Genomic DNA, 15,476 nt, shown 5'->3' with positions numbered 1-15,476 from the left:
AATATTGGTGACATTAAGCTTAAATACCCTTGAAAGGTTTTCTGAACAGATGTTAAATATTTCAAGGACTTTGGCTCTCTGGACTCTTTATATATGCAGAGACACATACACATATTGCCCCCCCCCCAGAGATTAAAAACTTTGTCATAATTGGAATTCAACATAGGCCAAAACAGAGAAAAAGTTTGCAGAATAGTTTTTGATTTGTATGACTATTATCAGTGACAATAATGCATGTAATTACTGCTCCAGATTTCCCCCACACCCCAGGAAAAAATATGCCACCATGTGGAACACAGTATCAAACTTCTAGAATATTGATAATAGCACATAATTTATTGAGCACCCAAAAACTACAGAGTATAATGTTGGTACTGTAGGTCATGGAATTTAGAAAATTATGTCAAGTAGCTTAAGCTGCAGAAGAAAATGGGATGCGTCATTAAAACTAAATGAAAGACTCTTTAGATTGGCAGCCTAATTCTAAGTCTGTACTATTAAAGAGAGTTATTTGCATCATAGGGCTAGGATAAAAATACTTTCACTCTTGGCTAAACCTTGGTTAGTTTCCAGCACGCTTTCCAGCTTACACAGACTTCTTTATGTCCATATTGCCAGCATAATTGGAGCCAGACATTCAGAGTCAATGTGGAAGTGAGCAGGATCTGCACCTAGCTTCTGCCAAGGGAGCATCATCAAGATTGGGTTTGCCCTCTGCCCAGGATAGCACTTTCCTGGGCATTGTCCTAACGTCAGGTCTCAGTGTACCCGTGGATTAGAGGTTAGAGGCAATCAGCAACAGATGTGTACCTAATGTTATTCATCCAAAGTTTAAGATGGACATGAGATTTTTACCTGATGTCCTCTAATTATACAGATCATAGTTTTGTAAAAGCTTTCATCTTGTTGATAATAGGACTCAAAATTCCCTAGCAAGTTTGACCTAAATAGAAGCCACTGGAAGGAGATTGGTGTCTATATTTTGTACCTTTTTCAGCCTAAGTTTTCAGTGAACCTCAAGGTACTATTTTCATTTTATTTGCAGAGTGGTTTAGAAAATAGATGTAGATAACTTTTGTAGCCACCTACAATGGCTTAAATTAGGGATGACTTTTGACTCTACTTAACATTTTCATTTCTGAATAATTGCTTTAGAACATGTCATATATTTTTCCCCTGAATTGTAGCTGTTGATTCACCTAAACTGTTACACACAACTTGTGGCAGTTGCTATCAGGCTTGTAATTCCTCTCTGCCCCTTGAGACTGTTCATTTGTACATTTGGATTAAGATATATTCTGGCCTCAAAAATTAACAAGAAGAAAAAGAACTGTAAAAAGACCTGGAGAACTTGGTTGGCAAATACCAGGCTTCATTTTTGCCACAAATATTTTGTACCTATTACAAAACCTCTTGCCCAAATCCTGCCCTACATTTCCTCCATCTGCTAGATAGATTTTTGGTGGTCTTGAGAGAAAGAAAACAGAGCAGTGGGGAGTGCTGGTTTCCGAGTCAAGAGTGCTTGGACAAAAATTCCAGCTCTGCAACTTTCTAGCTCTGGGAATTAACAAATCCATGTGAACCCATTTCCTCATCTGTAAACTAGAGTTAATGATATCACCTCCTCTAAGAGTCATGGTAAGGATTAAATGAAATAATATATATGAAGCACTTAACTTGCCTGGTGCACAGAGTTAATTAAATGAATATTAGTTGTTATTAATATTGCCATTTTCCCCAGGTGTTTGCTTTCTGTTGTATGAACTCCTATCCTCCAATATTCAAACAAAAGATGTTTCTTAAATACCTGCATGTGACAAGACCATGACAAGCTCTGGACTTGATTCCTTGGCTGAATATATTCTTCATTCGCAATAGTTTAAAAAATAAATGCCAATATTTTTTATGTATTTTGATAAAATTTGCTGCAAAATTCCTTTCCTTTCATTCCTGAAAGATTTCAGAAAGACCTTAACAAATGCTTACACAACTTACTTAGAAGTTTATTTTGAGATCTTCTTCTCCAAGGTCATCATTTGGTATTTTACAAAAGAACAAGATGTTTAGATCATATGCTGTTTCTTCTCTCTTGTTTGTTAAAAAAGAGTCAAACAGCCAGCTAATCACTGAATGCTAATGCACCTTTAACTCACAGCAATGAACATATCTCTATAATTAAGTTAACTGAATAAGAAATGATTTCTACAAACATGTTAACTGGCTAAAATTTTCAGGTAAAAGCCAATTCTCCAAGAAATTGTTGAACTATGAAATTGTTCTCAGGTAAATATTTTGGTGGTGTATAAAAATTCATCTCTGGTAAATATTTTATTAATATGTTATAGTTTGTGGATGACAATTCTATATACAAATATTTACCTGTCAAAATGCCTGACAGGTAAATATTAATATGCCTGAATGGCTGTCAGTTAGCTTTGACTAAAACAAAAATAAAAACAAACAAAAGGTACCAGAGGCAATAGCTTCTTAAAATATCAAAATATAGAATATTCAAAACTTACGGGAAATGTGACAATAATGTAATCCAACTAAAATAAGCAATTTGTAGACTGCAGGGAAGTGCTTAAATTAAGACATCACAAGTTGGAAAAGGGAGTTATGATAATAAATCCAAGAGACCAGAGGATAGGAAACATAATACCAGTTATTAACATCTGGTGAATATTAACATTTGGTGAATAGGTGAAAGGGTGGACAAGGCCAAGTATAAATTTATTTTGGATGTGATAAGAACATGAATGACAAAAGACAACAATTTTATCAAACCGGTCTAAATATGCTGGATAATTTCTTTGGAAATTAGTTCTTGTAGACATAAATATAAGAAATATTATGCCTCTATTTTAGAATTAAGTAGGCTGTGTTGCAAGGTTTACAATTTTTAAATTAATTCATTTTCATTTAAATATTAGCATGGGATTAGAAGCTGATTGAGACAAAATGGACACAGTTTGAAAGAAGGAGGGCCAGGCAGTGCGACACGGGGTTAGTTGGCAGTATCGTTATGATGATTCATCTGTCAATGATTTACGTGGTGCAGGACAGGCAGTGTGTGACAGCACAGTCTCTGATTTAGAGGTTTTCAATCTAGGTTAGAGAAAACTACAGTATAACATTTATCAGCTGATGTCAACTCTGAAATGCAAACTTTATTGGCATTTATGCCTCTAGGTTTGGGGAGGAGATAGAAGTAAAAAAACTGGAAAAGAAGAGAAGCCTTGGGCAATGGGCCAAAGGAGCATAGTGGTAGAGGAAAGGAGGTCAGAGAGGGGGCAGGAAGCACTGGAAGTAGCTCAAACAAAGTGAGCTCCTCTGCCCAAAGCAGCACCTCTCTACCTGCTATTCACTGTTTTCCTGACTTTAGAGAGAAGATACTGGGAAATTCACACTTGGTAAACAAGGTCACTAATGCCCTGAAAACTATAATACGAAGTTTGCTTGCCATGGTGAATGATAGGTAAACATTAATAAACTTTTATTTGAAAGACAGTGAAAAGAGGTTTGCTTACCTTTCAGAGGTGCCACTCTCATGCTAGCAAATCAAGCTGAAACAATCACCAAAAAGAATAAACACAGCAAAATACTAACAGATGATATTTATGGAGCATTTGATGTGGGCCAGGGGCTCAGCAAAGCTCTCTATCACACCTTTAATCTTCACAACAAACTCCTACAGGAACACTATTATTATTGCCATTTTGCAAACAAAGAAACTGAGACATGGAGAGGTTGGGTGATTTTTTTTTTTTTTTTTTTTGAGCTGCATTTGCACCATGGTGGTTTCAAAGCAAAGACAAGCCTCGTTGAGAATAATGCTCTGATGGACAGGAATGCCAGGACCTGGGTAGAAACTCAAGTTTCCTCTCCTGTAATATTTTTATTTCTTTTCTATTAAGCTGTCTTTCCAAAGAAGAACTTTTAAAAAAATTCAATGAGGGTACAGTTTTAAATTTAAATGTAGAACAAACAAAGACGAAACAGAAAATGGACAAATTGAAACAGGAAAAATGGTCAAGATAGGAATTGCACACAAGTGTGGCTGGAGTTCCTGGAGGAAGGTTCTATTTCTCCAAAGTGTTCTGGAAGCAGAGCTGCTTACCTAAAACCAGTGCACAGGCCAAACTATGACTGTTCTCACACTTGGCAATGCTGACCCAGGCTGTAGGCTGTAATACCTCCTTGTTTGGGGGACTTAATTACTTGTTTCCAGGCACAGAGGCAAAGAAGCATTAACTGTGTCGTTCAAAGACAGTCATAAAGCCAGTGTGGGGACAATAAAGGTAAAAATGTATGGTGCTTTTTAGGTTATAAGCAAGCCAAAGAGGAACTATGCTGAGAATGCCCACAAAGCACTGAAGTGATACTCAAATTACATTTGCGTGATTGTTTCTCCTATGGAAATCACGTATTCATTGCTATGTCTCCAGCGTTTAATACAGTAAATGCCATTGTAGGAATCTGATAGATATTCATTGAACTAAACCAAAAAAGGTCAAAGAAAAATGTTGAACTCTTGGCAAAAATATTTAAGCAATGGAGATAGTAAGAAATAGGTGCATTTGTGGAAAAGCCTCTGGGGAATGCTCAGAGGTGCATGCACACAGGTGTTGAGAAAAATCACAAAGAGATGAAGGAATTATGTAAAAGAAAACAAGATTTACACAGGGTGCAGCGGCTCACACTGTAATCCCAGCACTTTCAGAGGCTGAGGCAGGAGGATTACTCGAGCAGAGGAGTTTAAGACCGGCCTGTGCAACACAGCAAGACCCTGTCTCCGCAAAATATTAAAAACAAAAATTAGCCCAGTGTGGTGGCAAACACCACACTGAGTAGTCCTAGCTACTCAGAAGGCTGAGGCAGGAGGATCATTTAAATACAGGAGTTCAAGGCTGTATTCGGCTATAATCATGCCACTGCACTTCAGGCTGGGTGACAGAGTGAGACCCTGTCAAGCAAGCAAGAAGGGAAGGGAAGAGAAGGGGAGGGGAGAGGACAGGAGAGGAGGGGAGGGGAGGAGAGGGGAATTAAAACTTAAGAGGACAACTTAGTAATGCTTATGAGGAACATTGAAAAATCATACTCTCTTAACAATCTTTGAACGGATGAGGACATATCCCAGAAATAATGGGGAGACATCTGGAGATATGAGACTAAAAACAGGAAAAGACTGCACATTTTTAGTGTGATGTGACACCCAAAAGACTAATGTTATTTTTGGATGCAGTCTATTTAGAGCATTTCATCATGGAATAGAGGGTGACAGTTCCACTCTCAATGACATTCATGAGACCTATTCTAGAATGCCCCATTCCGTTTGGTTTGTCTGACTACCAAAAATAAGTAGACAGATTGGAAGGAGTCCAAAGAAGAGTTTCACAATTGATTAGGGAAAAGAAGCTGACTTATGGGAAAAGTTTGAAAGAATTATGTCTATACAGGAAGGTATGGGTATACATGTTACAAAGCCATAAATGTCTGTTGGAGGAAGAAATAATTTACGGAGATTAAAAGGCTACAGGTTGAACTGTACAGTGAAATGGGTTTTGAAAAGAGAATTTGGATTACGTATTGGATGGAAATTAGTTGGTGGTTAACGACATCTAGGTGGCATTGATTTGGAAGTAGTGCGTGCCCTGATGTGAAATGCTGAAACGCGTCTTCCATGCACATTCAAGAGAGGAATGGAGGCAAAATAGGAGGTGAAGGGATTTGATGTCACTTTAGATACTTTCCATCTCAAATCTGTCACATTCCACATTGTATCTGTGTGTGCCATATGCATGTATTACATTTAATTCAAATGTAAACTGTTTTAATCCTGTATGTATTAAGATACTTTATCCCTTCCCCCTCTTTTGAATACCCTTTATGGGAAGCTAAGGTGATTGTAAAACAACGTTTACCACACTATCTGGAAATATTCACCATTCTTAAAATGGTTGTGAAAATAACCCAAATATCTAACAAATTCAAAATGATGTTAGCTAAGAAGTTATTAAGACATTATGATTGCATTTATGGTGAATGTGTGTACAGAGTGTTGCATAGATACTTTGCAAAGAGCCTTTGCATGTATTTCTTGGTGAACTTGAAGCACCTCATTCCTTTGGTTAGATTGTCCTCTCCAGTTGCTTATAATAGGCCTCCACCTCACAATATTGAGACTTTTAAGAAAAGTAATTTTACATTTAGCAAGGGAGGTAGATGGCCTAAAGGTTAAGTAAAGGAAAAAATAAAAGAGGAGCACAAATAGTAATAAGATAGGAGAGTCAGGGATTGGTTTAAGTAATGAAGTCCGCAATCAATTTTACAAGTTAAGGACAGTAATGCTTTTATTTGCCTTTACACACTCATCGTTGACACTTAAAGACCATAGAGACATAATAGTTTGTATTCTAGAAAAGTTCTTTTGTATTTTTCTTCAAACTATCCAATTAAAAAAACTCTTAATTTTATCAGAGAATTGACAGTTTAAATAAAAATTTTCCATTGCTTTGTTTCCTCTTCTGGGCATATAATCAAAATGCCATCTTTTTCTACCCTTCTCATTGCCCTTTGCTGAACTATTCTTTCTATGTATATTAAAATTATTAACCCCCACATAAAAACAGAAAAGCCAAAAAGGAATAGGGTTCCACCAGCAAAGCCACATAGTGCTCATACTGATTGAAAACGTGGCATGGGGACTGAGTTTTCCGTTTTGCTGTAGATCCCTATGGAAATTTCAGTGGTTTAGGAAAAAGCCCGAAAGGTGGCTCTGAGTTTACCAGCTGTAATCTTAACTTGAATTTCTGGTGAAGATACAATTATTTATGATATATTACAGTTTTAATAATCTTGAAGGAATTCTGGGCTAACATTTGTTTTGCCAATTTCTGTTCAGTTATCATCTATTCAATCAATTTATATGTTTCCTTTGTATACTAGCACTGAATCAAGTTTTGTGGGGATACCATGAGGTAGACTTGTTCTCTATCCTTCACTAATTGCAGTATGTTTGGGGAAAAGAACTAGAACGATTAAAGTAATTCGAGGGTAATATATTGTAGCAGAAATTGCTACTGACAGACACAGTATTAAGGAAAAATGGGCACATTCAAGTTTCTTGCAGAAAGTCCCCAAGGAAAAATAGTGGACTACCGTGATTTAAGGTGGAAAAGTAGCCATAGGAGTAAAAACTTGATGGTGACAACACATGAGGGAATGTGGAAGAAACCATGATGGCCAGCGAGAAGGGTCATCTTGGGGAGCAATAGCATAGGTTCTAAGTACATAGCAGAACCCCATTATTATGTATTATTTATTAAATGGTCCTTGTATTATGTATTATTTACTAAATGGTCCTTGTATTATGTATTATTTACTAAATGGTCCTTGTCTCTTTGTTGACAACAAATATTCTCATCCACTCCTGTTTCTTTTTTCCCACTTTGAAGCAGCTTGTTCCTGGGCGTATGTGAAACTGCCTCATAGCTTTAATACTATAATAGCATAACAAATATTTCATTGTTTTTCAGAAAGGGTTCTCGTTATAATAAAAACCAATCTATACCCCATAAAGCTCAAAATCTTCCAAAGAGTAGATGTTAAAAAGCACCCAGTGGATGAGAGAGTACTATAATCTTATTTTAACTCTTAGGCACACCCCTAAAGATAGAGCCTTCCTCTCATTGCCAATAGCACTAAACTCCTTTCAACATTGAGGAGGTACCTACTTGTCTTGGGTTGCCATTTAATTGATCTTTAAGTTTTTCTTCTCAATTGGATATAAAGTTTTGAAGACTGGAATAGGTTTTACACAAAGTTAAATACACAGCAGATATCATAAAACATATGTTTAATTAATAGATTTATGAGATTGTGTTTTGTTTCCTTTTTTGTGGATGAGGCAAGCATAATTGTCACCAAATACACAGCAGATATCATAAAACATATGTTTAATTAATAGATTTATGAGATTGTGTTTTGTTTCCTTTTTTTGTGGATGAGGCAAGCATAATTGTCACCTCTAGAGGCAATATGGATGGGCAGACTTCATCCCATTTCATACAAATGCACAGGAATCAACCATATATTGACCTACTTACTTCATTTAAGTATTTCCTATGATGACTTTGACTTTGTCCTGACAACCCTATTAAAGCTAGTCTGTGAAAGCTGGAAGCAAGGTGTCTAATTTCCTTTGTAGAGAGTAATAAATGGTGTTCGCTAGCACACTGCTTTGCATACAAGAAGTGTTCAACAAAGGGCAAGCATGATGATGATGATGATCTTTTCCTATCTCAGGGAAAAAATAAAAGAAAGTAAATCTTTTGATTGATTATGCTATCTTTAATGCTTTTACAGATTTTATTCCTTTCAATCCCTCTGTCATCTTCTGATGCATTGTTTAGGTACACTCTTTGAAGCAGCTTGTTCATGAGTATATGTGAAATTACCTTGTGACTTTGATATTGTTATGATAAATTTTTCACTTTTCTCTAGCTTTGAATTCCTTTTGGCATATAAAGATTTTTCCTTTTCCTGAGTCATAATATTGTTATAGAGTCAACAAACATTTGTACACACTCTTCTTCATTTCTTCACACATGTGTAATAAAACCCCGTTTTTATCTCAGCTACGAGAAGCCCGAGTGACACTGAATCAGCTTCATACAATATAAAGTTCATCAGGTTTAAAATGGAAGCTTTTCCTCTTTCCTGTACTACAAACGTTGCTTCTGTCACATCATCCAGAGATGGTTAAAAAGTTGTTGCACTTGCTCACTGCATGTAATACAAACTGTCACCTTTAACTACAGTACTTTTCTTTTGAATTAGGAAAGAATTTGTCAATGAATCATGGAAGATTTGGGTATTTATTGTGATCTGGGAGCAACTAGAAAAATATACAATTTTATACCTAGGAAAGTATGTATATAAGAAAATAATTTTAAAAAAAGGAATAAGATATTTATGTACTTGGAGCAAAGGAATATAATTTCAGTGACATTGTTGCTATTTCACTGTGCACCTCATACCTTGACTGACAGATGAAACAGTCTTGTGTCAATTTGAAGTGGCTCCTCATCTCTAAAATTTCCCTGTGCAGTGAAATCTCTGGCAGGTTTCTTCAGTTGCCTTGGTGGGAAGGCAGCAAGCAAGATTACAGAGAGACAGAAATACCTCCCGTTCCTTTAGCTCTTCACTGGAGTTATTTTTCTTGTATTTTCTGTTTTTCTCTCTGGTGGTATTGATACTGTATTTTTTTCTTACTACTAAGTGATATTCAGTTTCTGAAAAGCAGTTAAAATGAGCCCACTACACATTTATGCATTACACAAAGAGAAGAATGTTGTAAAGAGGGTTCGACACTGAAGAAATCTTTTTCTTTAGCATAAATAATGCCTTTGTGGTAAGTGAAATTTATTTCGGGTATTTGTCTTCATTTTTTTGACCATAAAATTCTCTATGATTTTATAACCATAAAATGTTTTCCTGGAGCAGGAGGTTCTGAACAGAATTTTAACTTGTCATTCCGAATGTTACTTAACCAAATGGTGTCTCACAAATTTCTACATAAGAGACATTTGTGAGTGGCAATCTCATTAGGAGAAGGGAGTGGAATGCTAAGGCACTGGCCTTGAAGCTGAAATGTGCATGGGGCACACACCCTTTTCACTTAGATTCTATGTTTCAGAGAAATAGTATGGATGTGGCCGTGATAGAGAAGCAAAATAAAGTCACTGGGAGGAGTTTAAAATTACCTTATTTCTTCCAGAAAATAAGGCTACATGTGTTTCAAAAGTTCCACAAGGACAGGGTAACACCAGCCTCTTAAAGTAAGGACTCTATGCTTAAGTAACATTTAGGGCAAGTTAGTTACTTTTCAATTAAGAATTTGGCTGAGATTATGGAATCAGTAGCAGGTAAGTAGTTTTATTATAAGGACCTAGTTGGAAATAAATGAGAAATAAAATTATAATTATCTTGAACTGATCCAAGAGGCTCCGTATACTGATTAATACATACCCAAAACAGATTTCTGTGGCCTAGCTACATTGCTCTTTGTGGATAGTTTTCTGACTGTAGCAGTGGCTTCAAAAGTATAGTCGTTAAAATGGCTCAAACACTTTTTCTAGCCGGGAAAATGCTACAAAAAAAGTGGGTCTTTTCTAGAATGTCATTAACAGATACTGACAAATAGTGGAATGCCAGTACAAACTGTACCTGGTGAGCTCAATTCGATACTGGGAGACTGCATGCACTTTTTAAATTCCTCTATCATCATTGCAATACACACAGCTCATATTTTTCTCCAGAGAACTGCTCGCCAGGCTCATTTACTTGTACTGCTATACTGCTCTTTTGATCTCTAACATAAGAATTACTTAATGTACATATAAAACTATAGGATTTTCCTGACTTTATCTCATTAATCTTCTTAACTAAACAAAACCAATTTGCCTTCTTGATTCACCTTTATCCCTCAATCAAGAGCTTGTTTTCTTACCTTCAGCTCTTTTCCCTTAGTTCAACCTTAGTAGACTCAACTGTCACTCCTCATTCCCCTATGCTGTCTTTGTGCCACTGCCGCCGGTCGCATAGTTGAGAACAGAGTTCTTACCTGTTTACTGACACATAAAGGGCCAGATCCTTTTGTTTTTAATTTAGCAGATGTTGAGAGATTATGCTCCTTTTTTTTTTTTTTTTTTTTTTTAAGATGGAGTCTGGCTCTGTCGCCCAGGTTGGAGTGCAGTGGCACGATCTGGGCTCACTGCAAGCTCCGCCTCCCGGGTTCACGCCATTCTCCTACCTCAGCCTCCCGAGTAGCTGGGACTACAGGCGCCCGCCACCACGCCCTGCTAATTTTTTGTATTTTTAGTAGAGACGGGGTTTCACCATGTTAGCCAGGGTGGTCTCGATCTCCTGACTTCATGATCCACCCGCCTCGGCCTCCCAAAGTGCTGGGATTGCCATGCTACATTATTATTACTATTAGTCTTTGTTTTAAAATACCAATATTGCTTAATTCTGGTCTCACAAGGGGAATGTTACCATATAGGACCCACCAGTTCTCCTTACGAGCTTTCCTTGCCTTCAGGTAATATCCAATCATGGAAACAAAAACATAAAATTATAAAAGAGCCAGAAGTCTTGGCGGCAGATTTCCCAGAGAAATCCTGAGAGTGAATAAAGGTGGTCAATCCTGACCCCGTTTCAATTCTTTACAACAGAAAAGCACAGCCCTATGATTTTTCATGATAATTGCTTGTGCTCCTTGCTCACATTTGTTTTCAGGGGGAAAAGTGGAAATCCAGCCCAGTTGCTGAAGCCCTCATTTTAGGTACTCCATATTTTCTTACCTGTACTTTTTCCTACCCAGCTGTGCTGTTTTAACCTAAAAGGATCACTAAAACAGGAATGAAGACATCCTTAGAGAAATCACAATCATTGTCTTCTCGATTCATTTTTCTTTTCCTTGTGATGGGCTACTTTGGTCATAGTTGGGGGGCTGGGAGTGGCATTTACTCTGGAAAATGGAGAAATGCAAAAACCATGTTGAAGAAGAAGAAATACCCCTTAAAGGTACAAGTGAAATTTTGTTGAGAGAGCATATAAACCCAAGGTCTGTGTGAAAAATAAAGAGAAGTGGGATGAAAACTTGTGCAGGTCTACTCAGCAAGAATATGTAAGGATTTTATCAGAGCTCATATGAACTCTTTCTGCAATTCAGTAATACTGTCCACTTCTATTCTGAGAACATCTGAACTCTTGGGTGCAATGAAAACAGGGGAATCATTCTTTCCCTTCACTGATAGAATTTTCATGTACTCTGAATCTGCCTACTAACCTGAATATTTCATTTATGACATTTATTCCTTTTTCTCTGTCTCTAAATTTTTTACTACATACACAAAGTAACTTGTTTAAGGATTTTATTTTTATTTGCTAATTAGGTGTAAATCACTCATTATCATAACTCAAAGTGAAACCTTTCTTCAGAGTCTCTTCCACCAGTTAGTAATATATCTGCCATATTTTGTCTCCTTAATCACAGTGAAAATAATTGGAATTTTTCTCATGAATTATTTATTCGTTTTCCTTAGTAGAATGTAAGCTTCATAAAGACATGACATTTGCTCACTGCTCTACTTATCACTTCCACTCTTTGCCAAAACAGTGCTGGCACCTAATAGGCACTTCATGATGGAATGAGAATGGATCCATCCATTAATCAATTAATTAGAATATTGTTAGATCTTCCTAGTCAAAGAAAAATCACAGTTTACATAATTTTCTGAAAAAGTTCTCAGTGTAGCAGTTCTGCAACTTCTAATTTATTTTGTTTTTATACCTTTAAGTTTTTTTTCCAATTAAGACCTAATTGAATTTGGGTATATCTAGTTTATTCACTTAATTTCAAATAAAGTCTTATCCCTATTTGTCCAATTCCTGTTATTCATCTTGACTTTTTCCTCTCCTATAATTGTGTACAAGTAATTTATTTACATTTTACCACTTTAAATGACAACATTGCTGATTATAACTCAGAACCCAGTGGCTTGAGTCCATTCTGTCTTGATGCTTGAGTAAGTTTCACTCAATCTCATAAAAGCTTTATCTCATTACATTATATTTCACTAGAAAACAGTATTTGAAGGATGCTACATAGAAATGAATTAAATTTAAACCTTTGATTGAAATGCTCCATGACTGTGTTCACATATTTCCCTATCTACAATACTATTAAGAGATTCATTTGACACAGCATTTCCTTTGCCTTCAATTTAAAAAAAATTCTTTAAACTTTGCATACATTAAAAAATTAAGGCTGTTTAAGATTCCAAATGTTATTTTGATGTGTGCTGGCTTTCAAACAGTAAATAATTACTTTTAAAATGAAGCCTAGTGGTCTACATATTATTTGACCAAACCAATTCACTTCAATATAGTAATGTCTTCGAGGTATGCAAACATCTAATTCCTGATTACACTATCCTGACCTTAACTAATCATGTTTTATATTTGTATCCACTATTGTAATGGCTATAGGCATCCACCTCCTTTCCTCAGCCCAGTAGGAAGGACTAATATAAAATGTGTCATTTGTCTTTAAATCAATTTTATTTTTATATTGCAAAATGAATGGAGATAATTTGGGTAAGTGTAAGTTACAGAAAGTAAAATATAAGCATCATATTGGCAATGGCTACTGTTCTTTTCAAGCAAATTTTTTATCAGAATAAAGAGATTTCATTTTGAGTTTTGTTTTCTTTTAGTGCTTCTGTCCAAATATATGAAGATTGAAATAAATAGTAAAATATATTTGATTGAAAAATTAGAGGAGTAAGCTAGAAAATCAAGTGGTTAACATAATACATTAAAACCAGCCACTTCATAATAGAAAGTTTCAAACCTTTAAATAAGATAATAATCATAAACATAAATCAATGAAAAGGCTATAAATTATATACAATGCAAAGTTTGGACCTTTATGGATGTTTTGAAACTATCTGTGAGGAAAGTACCATTTAAAGTAGACACACTGATAAGGTCAAACCACTGCCAAATAAGAAGTATTGCATTTAATCCGAGGATGCCACCTACTGAAAGATAACTTCCTAACCCCTCTATTTAAAAGTACTGTTGACCTCTACCACTGTCAACCCTATTATATGTGCAGCATAGGAAATACATGGCTGGAATAAAAGGGCCGTCCTCAACCTTCAAACAGTTCAAAAGAATTTGGAATAACTTGTTCTTAGGTGTTTAATAAATTGCTTTTCCTTTCTGCATATAACTCTCCTTAAATATAAAAAGAGGGTAGACCACATAACCTCTAAATTTCTTTTCTTTTCTTGATTTCTAAGTTAGAAGCAAAATGAGGTCATGTAGGAATAACTTGAATGCAGTATTGCCAGGAAGTTTGCTTGGGTAATCATTATCCCCCCATATTTCTAAAAATGGTTGTGAATCAAATAAGGCAAAACCAGGCTTACTTAGCATTCTATTAACTAGACATTTCTATTAACTAGCATAGAAGGCAAAAATCTCTTAGTTTCATGTTTTAACTCCATGTTTAAAAAACAAGAGTGGAATAAATATACTAATATTGGAAGATACTAAAAGCAACATCCAACCTTTGACAAAAAACAGATTCAACTTGATTTGTTATTCCTTCTATTGAGATAATATTGAGATACAACCAAGGGATAGAAGGCATTGTATGTCACATAAACTTAAAATATATTCAGTTTGCTTGTTGTAGTAAGCATATTAAATTCTGAGTTATTGAAAAACTTACAAGTAGAATATATGAAATATTATAGCTACTAATCTAACTCTTTGGATAATCAGCCCCTGCTAGGTAAAACTTTATTTTTATTTTGGGTTTTAAGATGCAGAACTAGAAGCAGTAGACAATGGGGTAGGACTCCAAAATCTGGAATTCTCCTCACAGGCACTGGACCACGTTTTCAGTCCTGACTCTTTTGTTTAAATAATTGTTCTAAATGTGATTTGTTGGCAAATATTATGGCTTTACTTCTAAGCAGCAGCCCACCCATCAATAAAAAGAGGGTAAATGTACTTGCTTTACAGGGAAGTCATGATGACTAAATGTAAAAATTGATGTAAAAAATTATGTAGATGAGTAAACTAGTTAAGTGTCATTGAAAATGCAAGGTGGCATTATTTCTAAATGGCTTATAATATTTGAGTCCTAATTATTGCAGTCATATGTTTGCAGTTCTTTTCTTTGAAAGTGTAATTAAGTTGCTTCTTCATCAAAACATATAAAATGAATTTATGTATCAAAGCTTCATCCTATATTTGCGGAGAGGAAGCTTTCTATTTAAAGCATTGTGAATTGTGAGTAAAGATAATTTTATTGAAAAACAAGTGCTTTTTTTTTTTACTCAAAAATGTGTTTCTAATAGATGGTAGGGTTTAGGTAGGAATATTCTCCTTTTTTGTGTGTGCCTAAAGCTCTGAACACAGTGCAGTTACTCAATAAGTGATGGTTGATATGGAATTTGTGGGGTGAATCAGAAGGAAAGGAAATTGACAACTCAGCCCAATCAGTACAATTCTGTGTTTTATTCTCTGACATAACTAGTGAACAAGTCAAATTATCTTCCTGTTATTTTACTTGAAAAGTCTATTCTTAATAGTCACATGTGTGTTTTCATGTATTTCCTCTTTTTAAGTCTCTTAACTATTCAGACTTGAATCCATTATTTGTTACACACTAGAATTTCTGTTCTACCTCCACATGTAGAGTTGATAAATTTGTTTTATTTAAAAATACTTAGGTCCAACTGACCAAGGATAAAGTAAAATCATACATTTCCAGTCATTATACTTCTTTGAAATGAAGATGCATTCAAGATTTAAAAGCCTTAAAAGTTTACTCAGATTAGCATGATCATTCTCAGACCAAAACAAAAAAAATCACTCACTATTTAGTAAAT

General features: G+C 35.5%; 1 long non-coding RNA gene across 1 annotated transcript in view; it reads left to right on the top strand.

Annotated features, from left to right (window-relative positions):
• Positions 1-3,779: 3,779 nt before the first annotated feature.
• The window catches only part of LOC124909415 (uncharacterized), a 274,299-nt gene continuing 262,602 nt past the window's right edge, over positions 3,780-15,476 (top strand). Inside the window, exon 1 of the long non-coding RNA XR_007096015.1 lies at positions 3,780-15,476. This exon is cut by the window's right edge and continues 17,632 nt beyond it. This is a non-coding gene — a long non-coding RNA (uncharacterized LOC124909415).

The sequence above is a fragment of the Homo sapiens genome, chromosome 3 (assembly GCF_000001405.40).
Source record: "Homo sapiens chromosome 3, GRCh38.p14 Primary Assembly".
Lineage (NCBI taxonomy): Eukaryota > Metazoa > Chordata > Mammalia > Primates > Hominidae > Homo > Homo sapiens.
Note: the sequence above shows the minus strand (reverse complement) of the source record. Positions and strands in the feature narration are given on the sequence as shown.